Consider the following 14,856-nt stretch of genomic DNA (forward strand, 5'->3'; position numbering starts at 1 on the left):
TATTGGGTGCATATATATTTAGGAAAGTTAGGCCTTCTTATTGAATTGAACCCTTTATCATTATGTAATGCCCTTCTTTGTCTTTTTTTATCTTTGTGAGTTTGAAATCTGTTTTGTTGGAAATTAAGAGGCAACTCCTCCTTTTTTCTGTTTTCCATTTACTTGATGGATTTTCCTACATCCCTCTATTTTCAGCCTATGAGTGTCATTACTTGTGAGATAAGTCTCTTGAAGACAGCACACCATTAGGTCTTGCTTTTTTATCCAGCTTGCCTCTCTGTGCCTTTTAAGTGGGGCATTCAGCCCAGTTACATTCAAGGTTCATATTAATATGTGTGGATTTGATCCTATCATTGTGCTGTTAGCTGGTTATTATGTTGCCTTGTTTGTTTAGTTGCTTTACAATTACACTGGTCTGTGTGCTTAAGTGTGTTTTTGTGTTAGCTAGTAGTGGTCTTTCTTTTCTATATTTAGTGCTCCTCTCAGGATCTCTTGTAAGGCAGACCTGGTAATGAATTCTCTCAACATTTACTTATCTAAAAAGGATCTTATTTCTCCTTCACTTAGGAAGCTTAATTTGGCTGGATATGAAATTCTTGGTTGAATATTGTTTTTCTTTAGAAGTGTTGAATATAGGCCTCCAATCTCTTCTGGCTTGCAGGGTTTCAGCGGAGAGGTCACCTGTTAGCCTCATGGAGTACCCTTTGTAGGTGACCTGACCTTTCTCTCTAGCTGCTTTTAACATTCTTTCTTTCATCTGGACCTTGGAAAATCTGATGATTGTGTCTTGGGGATGATCTTCTTGTGTAGAATCTTGCAGGAGTTCTCTGTATTTCCTGAATTTGACTGTTGGCCTCTCTAGCATGGTTGGGGAAGTTTTCATGGATGATATACTGATACATGTTTTCCAAGTTGTTTGCTTTCTTCCCCTCCCTTTCAGGGATGCCAATGATTCATAAATTCGTCCTCTTCACATAAACCCATATATATATATATATATATATATATATATATATATATATATAATTTTTTTTTTTGAGATGGAGTTTTGCTCTTGTTGCCCAGCCTGGAATGCAGTGGCACAATCTCGGTTCACTGCAACCTCCACCTCCCAGGTTCAAGTGATTCTCCTGCCTCAGCCTCCTGAGTAGCTGGGACTACAGGCATGCACCACCATGCCTGGCTAATTTTGTATTTTTAGTAGAGACAGGGTTTCACCACATAGGCCAGGCTGGTCTTGAACTCCTGACCTCAGGTAATCAGCCCGCCTCAGCCTCCCAAAGTGCTGAGATTACAGGTGTGAGCCACCACACCCAGTCATAATCCCATATTTCTCAGAAGTTTTGTTCATTCCTTTTCATTTTTTTCTTTATTTTTGTCTGACTGTCTTATTTCAGAGAACCAGTATTCAAATTCTGAGATTCTTTCCTCAGCTTGGTTTATTCTGGTGTCAATATTTGTGATTGCATTGTGAAATTCTTGTATTGTGGATCTGTCAGATCCATTAGGTTCTTTTTTATACCAGATATTTTGTACTTCAGCTCCTGTATTGCTTTATTGTGATTTTTATTTTTCCTGGATTGGGTTTTGCTATCCTCCTGAATCTTGATAATCTTTGTTCCTATCCATATTCTGAATTCTATTTCTGTTATTCCAGCCAGTTCAGCCTGGTTAAAAACTCTTGTTGGAGAGCTGGTATGGTCATTTGGAGGATATACCACACTCTGGCCTTCTGAGTTACTAGAGTTCTTGCATTGGTTCTTTCTCATCTCTGACTGTGGGTGTGCATTTAACTGCAGTGTAGATTGAGTACAATCACTACACTTCTTTTCTGGATGTGTTCACCAGGCTGAGGCTTTGTGTGGGGCCTTTATTTGAAGCTGACTTCTTGCCTCTGGTTTCAGAGGGAGGCTCGTTAGTGAGGTATTTTTGGTGTTGAAGCTTTGGGGTGTGATCCAGCAAGTGGCACTTAGGCTTATTGGTCAGTCAGTAGACTCTTGCTTGGTTATGCAGCTTCCTATGTTTCTGCACAGTTGCAGCATTTTCTTTTTCAATGCTCTGAAATTGCAGAGTTCTTCTCCCACTTCAGTGCTGGCCATAGATTGTGACTTGGCACTCCTGAGTTGCCCACTGCAGCTCTGGGGTGATCTCAGTGCTTATGTTTCTTCCTCACCATGGAGGCAGCAGAGGAAGAGATCTTAGTAGTGGTTGTGGCCAAGGGTTACTTGCTTGTCTCCTGGGGGCTCCACCCCAAAGAGATGCAGTTCAGCAATCACTCAGTGCAATCAGCCCAGGATGGAGGGTCTGTGCTGTGGGCCCAAGCCAGGGGTTCCTTGTCTGGTGATGAGCAGTTGTGGGGACCCATGGGAGATGAGCTGGCCTCTTCTCCTCTCCTCCATTTCTGAAAAATATCTTTACTGGGAATAATATTCTTGACTGGCAATTTTTTCTATTCACTTTGAAAACTCAAAGCACTTTGAAAATATCAACCCATTCTCTCCTGCCCTATAAGGTTTCTGCTGAGAAATCTGCTACTAATCTAATAGTTGAATAGACATTCCTTTGTGTGTGACTTGATACTTTTCTCTTGCTGCTTTCAAAATTCTTTCTTTGTCTTTTACTTTTGACAATTTGAATATAATGTGCCTCAGGACCTGTTTGGGTGGAATCAATTTAGCATTCTTTGAGCTTCCTGAACCTGGATGTCTGTCTCTTTCCCTAGACTTGGGAAGTTTTTTGATATTATTTCATTTAAATATGTTTCCCTCACATTTTCTCTTCACTTCTGCAATGCCCATAGTATGGACTTAATGATGTCCATAAATCCTGTAATCTTTCTTCATTCTTTCTAATTCTTTCTTCTTTTATTTTTAATCTGCCTGTGTTATTTCAAAGGACATGTCTTTTAAGTTCAGAAATTGTTTCTTCTACTTAGTCCAGTCTGTTGTTGAATCTCTTAATTGTATATTTACTTCATTCATTGAATTATTCAGCTCTAGGATTTGTTTGGTTCTTTTTTATGATATCTCTTTGTTAAATTTCTTATTCAAATCATGAACTGTTTTCCTTATTTCATTGAATTTTCTATCTGCATTCTTTGTATCTCACTAGGATTCCTTAATATTATTATTTTAAATTCTTTTTTGGGGGGGGCATTCCATATATTTCCTTGTGATTGGGGTCTTTTACTGGAGAATTTTTTTTTTGGTGTGGGGTGGTGACATGTTTTCTTGCTTTGTCGTGTTAATGTGTCCCTACATTGATTTCTACACATCTGATAGGAAAGTCATCTCTTCAAATGTTATGCAGTAGGTTTCATAAATAAAGACTTATTTATATGAATGGGTCTTGGGATGTCAGTTCAGGGAGGGTGCATTGGCCTTGTTCTAGGTGGAGTAGTAGTGTGTTCTCCATGTAGTGACCAGCTATAAACCACAATGATGGCATTTGAGAGTTTCTCAGTGGCTTAGGCTGAGAGAATTGGTGGCAATGATTATTTAGTTTTGTCAGAGTGGGCTCACTAAGCTGTTTTTCAGGTCAGGGGCATGTGTGTGCATAGGGTGGGTTGGCCAACTTGGAGTCTGGCTCACCAGGATTGGAGCCACATGGCTGTTATTCTGGCTAGTAGAATGGGCATGTGGTTACTTGGAGGTGTGCCTGCCTGGGCAGTCTGTGGGGCTGTTATGCAGTTGTTTGGCTTCTTGGTTGGTCTGAGGATGTGTCTTCTGGAGACAACCCACAGCAGTTTCTCAGGTCTGTCTGGGACCCAGCTCTATGACTGCTTCATTGCCCTAAGGCCATGTTTGTCATATGTAGCCCATCAGGCTGTTTCTCAGGCCTGGATTGTGGTCATATGGCTTCTTGGCTGGTCTAGTTATGAGTCTGCAGTGGGAGGCCTATAAAGCTATTTCTGTGGCTTGGGACACAGACCTACAGCTACTTGGCTGACCTGGGGGCATTTCTGCAGACAGTAGACCACAGGGATGTTTCAGAGGCCTGAGACGTAGGCACAGGACTGCTCAACTGGCCTAGGAGTATCTTTGCTTGAGGTGATCTGTGGGGCTGGTTCTCAGGTCTGGCATGTAGGTTCAAGGTCTACTTGGCTGGTCTGGAGGTATGCACAGGGCTTTTCTGAGACACAGACACAGGGCTGCTCAGCTGGTCTGGAAGGGTGGCCTGTGGGACTGCTTCTTGGGCCTAGGACAATGGTGCATAGCTGCTTGGCTGATCTAGGGATGTGTCTGCAGGAGGTGACCCACAGGATAGTTTCTGAGGCCCAGAACATGAGCAAACAGCTGCTCAGCTGGCCTGGGGGCTTGCCCTCCAGGGGCGGCCTGTGAATTTCTCAGTCCTGGGGCATAGATACATATTTGCTCCACCAGCCCAGAGGCGTTTGTACCAGGTGCCACCTGTGGAGCTGTTTCTCAAGTTCTAATTGTAGGCACAGGGGCACTGGACAGGACAAGGGCCTGTCTGCAGTGAGTAGGGCATCTCAGGGCTGTTTTTCAGGCCCTGGATGCAGGCCCATAGCCACTCCACTGGCCTGGGAGCATGTCAGATGCTCAGAGGCTTGAGAGTCTCTCCTGTTTGGGGAAGGGTGCACAGAAGTTTGGCTGGCTTGAAGGCAGGTTCACCCTGGATGGAAATTTCAGGCTATTCCCCTGGCTGGGGGTGAAAGCAGTGGGAATTGGTTTCCCTGCTGTGCAGGACCAGCATCACAGCCTATCCTAGATCGGGCTCCACACTGCTGGGCTTGCAACATTCAACCACCAGTGGAAGCTTGTGGAATAAAGATGGAGCGCAGTGCTGGAGAGGTGCAGTGGCTATTGGCCCCCAGAGGAGGAAGCACTCCAGAAGTACCTCTGGTCTCAAGATGGCTCCATGCTGCAGCAGCTTGGCTGATAGAGGGGTGAGGTGTATATCCTTGTGCTCCTAATCTGGGGCAATGCAGGTATGTGATTTCCCAGCACATCTCCAAACTGGGCTCAGGGCTCATGAGGACTGTGGTATTCTCCTGTTGTAAGCACTGTAGGTGTTTGTGGTGACTGGTGGGAATCTTCTGCTTACCTTTTCCCCACAATAGGAAGTCCCTCCTGACTCCCAGCAGATTTGATTCAGGTGGGGAAGGAGAGGCTGCAGAGGAAAGGTGTCTCCATTCTGCCCTCCTGGACTTCCCATGACCACAGATGCATCTTTGCTCCCCCACTGTACTATAGCACTCTGTCTGATACTCTGGTCAAATCTTAGCTGTTTATTTATTGCCTTGGTACTGTCTTCTTTTGGGGAGTGTCAGAAATAAATGTCAGGCATCTGCAATCAGCCCTCTTGCTGATGTTCAGAACCTCATAACCAGAAGTAGGCAATTCTGAGCTGGAAGGCCTGGTCTGTCATTCTCATTGCATATACAGTCCATCGTTGATCAAAATGTCTTTATGTGGTATGTGACTATATTAGTATAGAATTGATGATTTTTACTTTCATTAATAGCTTAGGTAATATTAATATTTGTAGGTAATCACAGTGTTTTTTGAAAACAATGTTCACATTATTAGTGACATAAAGCATATTTCACAAAGTACCTTGAAAATATGGTAATCCTTTCTTGCATCGGTAAACTGGTTTGCTTCAGACTAATTCTCCAGCTGAGAACAGGTAGAAAAGGCTGGACGAAATAACTAAAATATATATGTTTAACGATATCAAAGATATACCAAGAAAGAAAGAACATGAAAAGCCAAAATCTCAGAGAGAAAAGTGGTGACAGTTTAGGAAGGGCAGGGCTCCAATCATTTACCAGAGCTGAGGCAAATCTGGGCTTAGGGCACCACCTGGAGCTCAAAAGGAGGCAGTGACCTAGCAGTAAAGAATCTATTAGTAAATATATCCAATAAAAACCAAACAAGCCAGACAGAGAAGGCTGGAATAAATAATACTTCAATGCCAAGACACAGATGTACATTCACAAGAAAGAGAAGCAGACAGGGAACCATCACCTCCCCAAATGGACAAAGCAAGGAACCAGTAACTGACCCTACTGAGACAGGATATGTGAGTTCTCTGACCAAAAATTCAAAATAGCAGTTTTAAGGGAACTCAGTGATCTCTAAGATAACACAGAAAAGCAATTCAGAAACTTATCAGAGAAATTTTAAAAAGAGATTTAAATGATAATTTTTAAAAATTTTTAAAATGGAATTGAGAAAATAATTTTCTGAATTGAAAGATTCATTAGAGGCTCTCAACGGCAGAATGGATCAATGAAAGGAAAGAATCAGTGAGGTCAAAGATGGATTATTTGAAAATAAACAGATGTCACGCAAGGTGGCTCATGCCTGTTAATCCCAGCACATTGGAAGGCTGAGGTTGGCAGATCACTTGAGCTCAGGAGTTTGAGACCAGCCTGGCCAACATGGCAAAACCCTGTCTCTACCAAAAATACAAAAATTAGCTGGGCGTGGTGGTGCACACCTGTAATTCCAACTACTTGGGAGGCTGAGGCAGGAAAATCACTTGAACATGGGAGGAGGAGGTTGCAGTGAGCTGAGATTGGGTCATTGCACTCCAGCCTGGGTTACAGAGTGAGTCTCTGTCTCAAAAAAAAAAAAAAAAAAAAAAAAAAGACAGAAAAAAAAAGAAACAGAGAAGAAAAAGAATAAAAAACAGAAAATTTCCTACAAGAGAGGAGTCAAGATGGCCGAATAGAAACAGCTCCGGTCTACAGCTCCCAGAGTGAGAGACACAGAAGACGGGTGATTTCTGCATTTCCATCTGAGGTACCGGGTTCATCTCACTAGGGAGTGCCAGACAGAGGGCACAGGTCAGTGGGTGCAGCACACTGTGCATGAGCTGAAGCAGGGCAAGGCATTGCCTCACTCAGGAAGTGCAAGGGGTCAGGGAGTTCCCTTTCATAGTCATAGAAAGGGGTGAAAGATGGCACCTGGAAAATCAGGTCACTCCCACCCAAGTACTGTGCTTTTCCGATGGGCTTAAAAAACAGCGCACCAGGAGATTATATCCAGCACTGGCTCAGAGGGTCCTACGCCCACGGAATCTCGCTGATTGCTAGCACAGCAGTCTGACATCAAACTGCAAGGGGGCAGCGAGGCTGGGGGAGGGGCACCCGCCATTGCCCAGGCTTGCTTAGGTAAACAAAGCAGTCCGGAAGCTCGAACTGGGTGGAGCCCACCACAGCTCAAGGAGGCCTGCCTGCCTCTGTAGGCTCCACCTCTGCGGGCAAGGCACAGACCAACAAAAAGGCAGCAGTAACCTCTGCAGACTTAAATGTCCCTGTCTGACAGCTTTGAAGAGAGCAGTGGTTCTCCCAGCACGCAGCTGGAGATCTGAGAATGGGCAGACTGCCTCCTCAAGTGGGTCCCTGACCCCTGACCCCTGAGCAGCCTAACTGGGAGGCACCCCCCAGTAGGGGCAGACTGACACTTACACGGCCGGGTACTCCTCTGAGACAAAACTTCCAGAGGAACGATCAGACAGCAGCATTCGCGGTTCATGAAAAACCGCTGTTCTGCAAACACCACTGCTGATACCTAGGCAAACAGGGTCTGGAGTGGACCTCTAGCAAACTCCAACAGACCTGCAGCTGAGGGTCCTGTCTGTTAGAAGGAAAACTAACAAACAGAAAGGACATCCACACCAAAAACCCATCTGCACATCACCATCATCAAAGAACATAAGTAGATAAAACCACAAAGATGGGGAAAAAACAGAGAAGAAAAACTGGAAACTCTAAAAAACGGAGCACCTCTCCTCCTCCAAAGGAACGCAGTTCCTCACCAGCAATAGAACAAAGCTGGACGGAGAATGACTTTGACGAGTTGAGAGAAGAAGGCTTCAGACAATCAAACTACGAGCTACAGGAGGAAATTCAAACCAAAGGCAAAGAAGTTAAAAAATTTGAAAAAAATTTAGAAGAATGTATAACTAGAATAACCAATACAGAGAAGTGCTTAAAGGAGCTGATGGAGCTGAAAGCCAAGGCTCGAGAACTACATGAAGAATGCAGAAGACTCAGGAGCCGATGCAATCAACTAGAAGAAAGGGTATCAGCAATGGAAGATGAAATGAATGAAATGAAGTGAGAAGGGACGTTTAGAGAAAAAGAATAAAAAGAAATGAACAAAGCCTCCAAGAAATATGGGACTATGTGAAAAGACCGAATCTTCGTCTGATTGGTGTACCTGAAAGTGACGGGGAGAATGGAACCAAGTTGGAAAACACTCTGCAGGATATTATCCAGGAGAACTTCCCCAATCTAGCAAGGCAGGCCAACATTCAGATTCAGGAAATACAGAGAACACCACAAAGATACTCCTAGAGAAGAGCAACTCCAAGACACATAATTGTCAGATTCACCAAAGTTGAAATGACGGAAAAAATGTTAAGGGCAGCCAGAGAGAAAGGTCGGGTTACCCACAAAGGGAAGCCCATCAGACTAACAGCAGATCTCTCAGCAGAAACTCTACAAGCCAGCAGAGAGTGGGGGCCAATATTCAACATTCTTACAGAAAAGAATTTTCAACCCAGAATTTCATATCCAGCCAAACTAAGCTTCATAAATGAAGGAGAAATAAAATCCTTTACAGACAAGCAAATGCTGAGAGATTTTGTCACCACCAGGCCTGCCCTAAAAGAGCTCTTGAAGGAAGCACTAAACATGGAAAGGAACAACCAGTACCAGCCACTGCAAAATCATGCCAAAATGTAAAGACCATTGAGACTAGGAAGAAACTGCATCAACTAACGTGCAAAATAGCCAGCTAACATCATAATGACAGGATCAAATTCACACATAACAATATTAACTTTAAATGTAAATGGACTAAATGCTCCAATTAAAAGACACAGACTGGCAAATTGGATAAAGAGTCAAGACCCATCACTGTGCTGTATTCAGGAAACCCATCTCACATGCAGAGACACACATAGGCTCAAAATAAAAGGATGGAGGAAGATCTACCAAGCCAATGGAAAACAAAAAAAGGCAGGGGTTGCAATCCTAGTCTCTGATAAAACAGACTTTAAACCAACAAAGATCAAGAGACAAAGAAGGCCGTTACATAATGGTCAAGGGATCAATTCAACAAGAAGAGCTAACTATCCTAAATACATATGCACCCAATACAGGAGCACCCAGATTCATAAAGCAAGTCCTGAGTGACCTACAAAGAGAATTAGACTCCCACACAACAATAATGGGAGACTTTAACACCCCACTGTCAGCATTAGACAGATCAATGAGGCAGAAAGTTAACAAGGATACCCAGGAATTGAACTCAGCTCTGCACCAAGCTGACCTAATAGACATCTACAGAACTCTCCACACCAAATCAACAGAATATACATTTTTTTCAGCACCACACCACACCTATTCCAAAATTGACCACATAGTTGGAAGTAAAGCTCTCCTCAGCAAATGTAAAAGAACAGAAATTATAACAAACTATCTCTCAGACCACAGTGCAATCAAACTAGAACTCAGGATTAAGAATCTCACTCAAAGCCGCTCAACTACATGGAAACTGAACAACCTGCTCCTGAATGACTACTGGGTACATAACGAAATGAAGGCAGAAATAAAGATGTTCTTTGAAACCAACGAGAACAAAGACACAACATACCGGAATCTCTGGGACACATTCAAAGCAGTGTGTAGAGGGAAATTTATAGCACTAAATGCCAACAAGAGAAAGAAGGAAACATCCAAAATTGACACCCTAACATCACAATTAAAAGAACTAGAAAAGCAAGAGCAAACACATTCAAAAGCTAGCAGAAGGCAAGAAATAACTAAAATCAGAGCAGAACTGAAGGAAATAGAGACACAAAAAAACCCTTCAAAAAATCAATGAATCCAGGAGCTGGTTTTTTGAAAGGATCAACAAAATTGATAGACCTCTAGCAAGAATAATAAAGAAAAAAAGAGAGAATAATCATAATCAAATAGACACAATAAAAAATGATAAAGGGGATATCACCACCGATCCCACAGAAATACAAACTACCATCAGAGATTACTATAAACACCTCTACACAAATAAACTAGAAAATCTAGAGGAAATCGATAAATTCCTCGACACATACACTCTCCCGAGACTAAACCAGGAAGAAGTTGAATCTCTAAATGGACCAATAACAGGAGCTGAAATTGTGGCAATAATCAATAGCTTACCAACCAAAAAGAGTCCAGGACCAGATGGATTCACAGCCGAATTCTACCAGAGGTACAAGGAGGAACTGGTACCATTCCTTCTGAAACTATTCCAATCAATAGAAAAAGAGGGAATCCTCCCTAACTCATTTTATGAGGCCAGCATCATCCTGATACCAAAGCCTGGCGGAGACACAACCAAAAAAGAGAATTTTAGACCAATATCCTTGATGAAATTTGATGCAAAAATCCTCAATAAAATACTGGCAAACCAAATCCAGCAGCACATCAAAAAGCTTATCCACCATGATCAAGTGGGCATCATCCCTGGAATGCAAGGCTGGTTCAATATACTCAAATCAATAAATGTAATCCAGCATATAAACAGAACCAAAGACAAAAACCACATGATTATCTCAATAGATGCAGAAAAGGCCTTTGACAAAATTCAAAAACCCTTCATGCTAAAAACTCTCAATAAATTAGGTATTCATGGGACGTATCTCAAAATAATAAGAGCTATCTATGACAAACCCACAGCCAATGTCATACTGAATGGGCAAAAACTGGAAGCATTCCCTTTGAAAACTGGCACAAGACAGGGATGCCCTCTCTCACCACTCCTATTCAACATAGTGTTGGAAGTTCTGGCCAGGGCAATTAGGCAGGAGAAGGAAATAAAGGGTATTCAATTAGGAAAAGAGGAAGTCAAATTGTCCCTGTTTGCAGACGACATGATTGTATATCTAGAAAACCCCATTGTCTCAGCCCAAAATCTCCTTAAGCTGATAAGCAACTTCAGCAAAGTCTCAGGATACAAAATCAATGTGCAAAAATCACAAGCATTCTTATACACCAATAACAGACAAACAGAGAGCCAAATCATGAGTGAATTCCCATTCACAATTGCTTCAAAGAGAATAAAATACCTAGGAATCCACCTTACAAGGGATGTGAAGGACCTCTTCAAGGAGAACTACAAACCACTGCTCAATGAAATTAAAGAGGATACAAACAACTGGAAGAACATTCCATGCTCATGGGTAGGAAGAATCAATATCGTGAAAATGGCCATACTGCCCAAGGTAATTTATAGATTCAATGCCATCCCCATCAAGCTACCAATGACTTTCTTTACAGAATTGGAAAAAACTACTTTAAAGTTCATATGGAACCAAAAAAGAGCCCGCATCGCCAAGTCAATCCTAAGCCAAAAGAACAAAGCTGGAGGCATCACAGTACCTGACTTCAAACTATACTACAAGGCTCCAGTAACCAAAACAGCATGGTACTGGTACCAAAACAGAGATACAGATCAATGGAACAGAACAGAGCCCTCAGGAATAACGTCGCATATCTACAACTATCTGATCTTTGACAAACCTGAGAAAAACAAGCAATGGGGAAAGGATTCCCTATTTAATAAATGGTGCTGGGAAAACTGGCTAGCTGTATGTAAAAAGCTGAAACTGGATACCTTCCTTACAACTTATACAAAAATCAATTCAAGATGGATTAAAGACTTAAACGTTAGACCTAAAACCATAAAAACCCTAGAAGAAAACCTAGGCATTACCATTCAGGACATAGGCATGGGCAAGGACTTCATGTCTAAAACACCAAAAGCAATGGCAACAAAAGACAAAATTGACAAATGGGATCTAATTAAACTAAAGAGCATCTGCACAGCAAAAGAAACTACCATCAGAGTGAACAGGCAACCCACAAAATTGGAGAAAATTTTCGCAACCTACTCATCTGACAAAGGGCTAATATCCAGAATCTACAATGAACGCAAACAAATTTACAAGAAAAAAACAAACAACCCCATCAAAAAGTGGGCGAAGGACATGAACAGACACTTCTCAAAAGAAGACATTTATGCAGCCAAAAATCACATGAAAAAATGCTCACCATCACTGGCCATCAGAGAAATGCAATCAAAACCACAGTGAGATACCATCTCACACCAGTTAGAATGGCAATCATTAAAAAGTCAGGAAACAGCAAGGTGCTAGAGAGGATGTGGAGAAATAGGAACACTTTTACACTGTTGGTGGGACTGTAAACTAGTTCAACCATTGTGGAAGTCAGTGTGGCGATCCCTCAGGGATCTAGAACTAGAAATACCATTTGACCCAGCCATCCCATTACTGGGTATATACCCAAAGGACTATAAATCATGCTGCTATAAAGACACATGAACACGTATGTTTATTGCGACATTATTCACAATAGCAAAGACTTGGAACCAACCCAAATGTCCAACAATGATAGACTGGATTAAGAAAATGTGGCACATATACACCATGGAATACTATGCAGCCATAAAAAATGATGAGTTCATGTCCTTTGTAGGGACATGGATGAAATTGGAAATCATCATTCTCAGTAAACTATCACAAGAACAAAAAACCAAACACCGCATATTCTCACTCATAGGTGGGAACTGAACAATGAGAACATATGGACACAGGAAGGGGAACATCATACTCTGGGGACTGTTGTGGGGTGGGGGGAAGGGGGGAGGGATAGCATTGGGAGATATACCTAATGCTAGATGACGAGTTAGTGGGTGCAGCACACCAGCATGGCACATGTATACATATGTAACTAACCTGCACATTGTGCACATGTACCCTAAAACTTAAAGTATAATAATAAAAAAAAAATCTTTTAATCATCTGAATGCGTCAAAGTATTGAGAAAATATCAGATATATAGAAAGGGAACTTTGTTCCAGAAGGAGAGGTAGCAAAAAAGAGTGGACAAATGTGGGCCTGGGATCATACGGGCCCACCAAATCTTGCTCTGTGTGGCCTGTGTGAACTTCGCAAGTCACCGTCTCCCTGAACCTTAGTTTCCTCATCTGTAAAATGGGGGAGATAACAATTTTTACTTTTCAAGGTTGTTGTGAGGCTTACAGGTAATGTATCAACATATGAAGCTTCTCATATATCAGTAGTTAATACTGTTGCATGGCAAATTTCCTTCAAGTTTAATCCCGCGTAGTCAGGCCTGTGATTCTAAGAGTCTGTTGATTGGATGACTCTGAAGCAGCTTTGTTAACAGTGCAGACAATTTGCATGAAGCTTTTTATCATATAATGATCTATGTTAATTTACTTTGGACTTATTTCTCGTTTCACTTGAAAAGCTTTATTTTATATTTGGTGATATAAAATAATGTTTTAATGAAAAAAAAAGAAAATTTCCTACAAGATATACAAAATTACCTCAAAAGACCCAATCTAAGAATTATTGGTGTTCAAGAGGGAGTCGAGCATGAGCATGGGGTAGAATCTCATTCAAAGAAATAATAACAGAAAACTTTCCGAAACTTGAGAACGATATAAACACCTATGTACAGTAAGGTCTGACAACATTAAATAGATATGACTCAAATAAGACTACCCCAAGGAATAAACTCTCAAAGGTCAAGGAGAAAGAGACGATCCTAAAAGCGGCAAGAGAAAAGAAGCAAATAACATATAAGGATCCCCAATTCATCCAGCAACAGATTCCTCAATGGAAACTATACAGGCTAGGAGTAAGTGTAATGACATTTTCAAAGTGCTGAAAGAAAAAAACTGCCAGCTAAGAATACCGTATCCAGGTGGCCATGTCTAAGTTCTGTACATGAGTGGAAATGATGTGTCCAACTTTCAGGCCTTGCCTTCCTGGTCCCTTTCTCTTTCCACAAACTGAGACCTAGCAAGAGCATCAGCCTTGGAGCCAAAAGTGGAACCCCTTGTTGAGATATCCCTTGTTGAGATAAATTCTTAGTGTGAGAAGGCCAGCTAGGGGTTTGTGCCCAGGAGACCTGTGGGATGAACTTCCTACAGCTTTGCACTGCTGAACAGCCACTCTGATTTGGCATCTCCTTTAGCTGAGTTACAGAGTTTTCAGGGCTGGTTAGGTAATCCTGCCTCCTCCCTTTGCCTCTGCCTGTTTTCAGGTATATTTCTCCCCCCAGGCACTGTGATGCTTCCTGTGGGTTAAGGCAGGGGCAGATCTTCTGCAAGGAAACCCAAGATAGTGGGAAAACTGGTTGTCCATCTCAGTATCACTTTTTCCAATGTAGAAACTGAACTGGAGGAAAATTTTCCACATGCTTGTTCTGGGCAGAATGGCAGGAGAGGTGCCACAGATGTGGAAGTCCAATTCTCTTACCGTCTGCTTGGAATTTTTTCACTTCTCGTGGCCCTGGCAACTGTTTTCATATTTGAATTCTGGGATATTGTTGGTGATAATCCCAGTGCTGTATATCTGGTTTTGGTTTTCTAGAGAAGGCAAAGGGTGAAGCCAGTTTGCTTCTATGCTGCTATTTTGGAACTGGAAGTCCATTCATTCACTTTTTTCAGCTTTTCTAATCTGCTGTTAAACCCATACATTGAATTATTATTTTCAGCAACAATACTTTTTACTTCTACAATTTTATTTGATTCATTTACTGTTTCTAAATTCATCTTGTCATTTAATTTCTTAAATATGGTAATCAGCTTTTCCTCTGTGTTGAATTGATTATTATTTAATTCAATAATTTTAAAATGAGACAAATCTATTTAAAACATTATACAAAAAATTGAATCTACTTATCCTCATTAAATTAGACCATTGCAACAGAGCAAGTAATTCCCTGGAATAATAATAATTCTTATATGTCCTCAGAGACAGTCAAGTGAGAAAAGC

General features: G+C 41.7%; 1 protein-coding gene across 2 annotated transcripts in view, besides 3 other annotated features; it reads left to right on the forward strand.

The window, feature by feature from the left end:
* The window catches only part of CIMAP3 (ciliary microtubule associated protein 3), a 28,355-nt gene that overhangs the window by 3,872 nt on the left and 9,627 nt on the right, over positions 1-14,856 (forward strand). The gene's annotated exons all lie outside the window — the stretch shown is intronic.
* Positions 3,940-4,119: an enhancer, noted in NCBI's record as "active region_1493". NCBI's record gives its function as "activates an Ori minimal core promoter by ATAC-STARR-seq in GM12878 lymphoblastoid cells {active_cell/tissue: GM12878}" and the evidence as "EXISTENCE:reporter gene assay evidence [ECO:0000049][PMID:35858748]".
* Positions 6,669-7,170: an enhancer, noted in NCBI's record as "H3K4me1 hESC enhancer chr1:111877825-111878326 (GRCh37/hg19 assembly coordinates)". NCBI's record gives its function as "activates a minimal SCP1, AML or CMV promoter by ChIP-STARR-seq in naive H9 embryonic stem cells {active_cell/tissue: H9 hESC(naive)}" and the evidence as "EXISTENCE:reporter gene assay evidence [ECO:0000049][PMID:30033119]".
* Positions 7,171-7,670: an enhancer, noted in NCBI's record as "H3K4me1 hESC enhancer chr1:111878327-111878826 (GRCh37/hg19 assembly coordinates)". NCBI's record gives its function as "activates a minimal SCP1, AML or CMV promoter by ChIP-STARR-seq in naive H9 embryonic stem cells {active_cell/tissue: H9 hESC(naive)}" and the evidence as "EXISTENCE:reporter gene assay evidence [ECO:0000049][PMID:30033119]".

This window comes from Homo sapiens, chromosome 1 (genome assembly GCF_000001405.40).
Source record: "Homo sapiens chromosome 1, GRCh38.p14 Primary Assembly".
Lineage (NCBI taxonomy): Eukaryota > Metazoa > Chordata > Mammalia > Primates > Hominidae > Homo > Homo sapiens.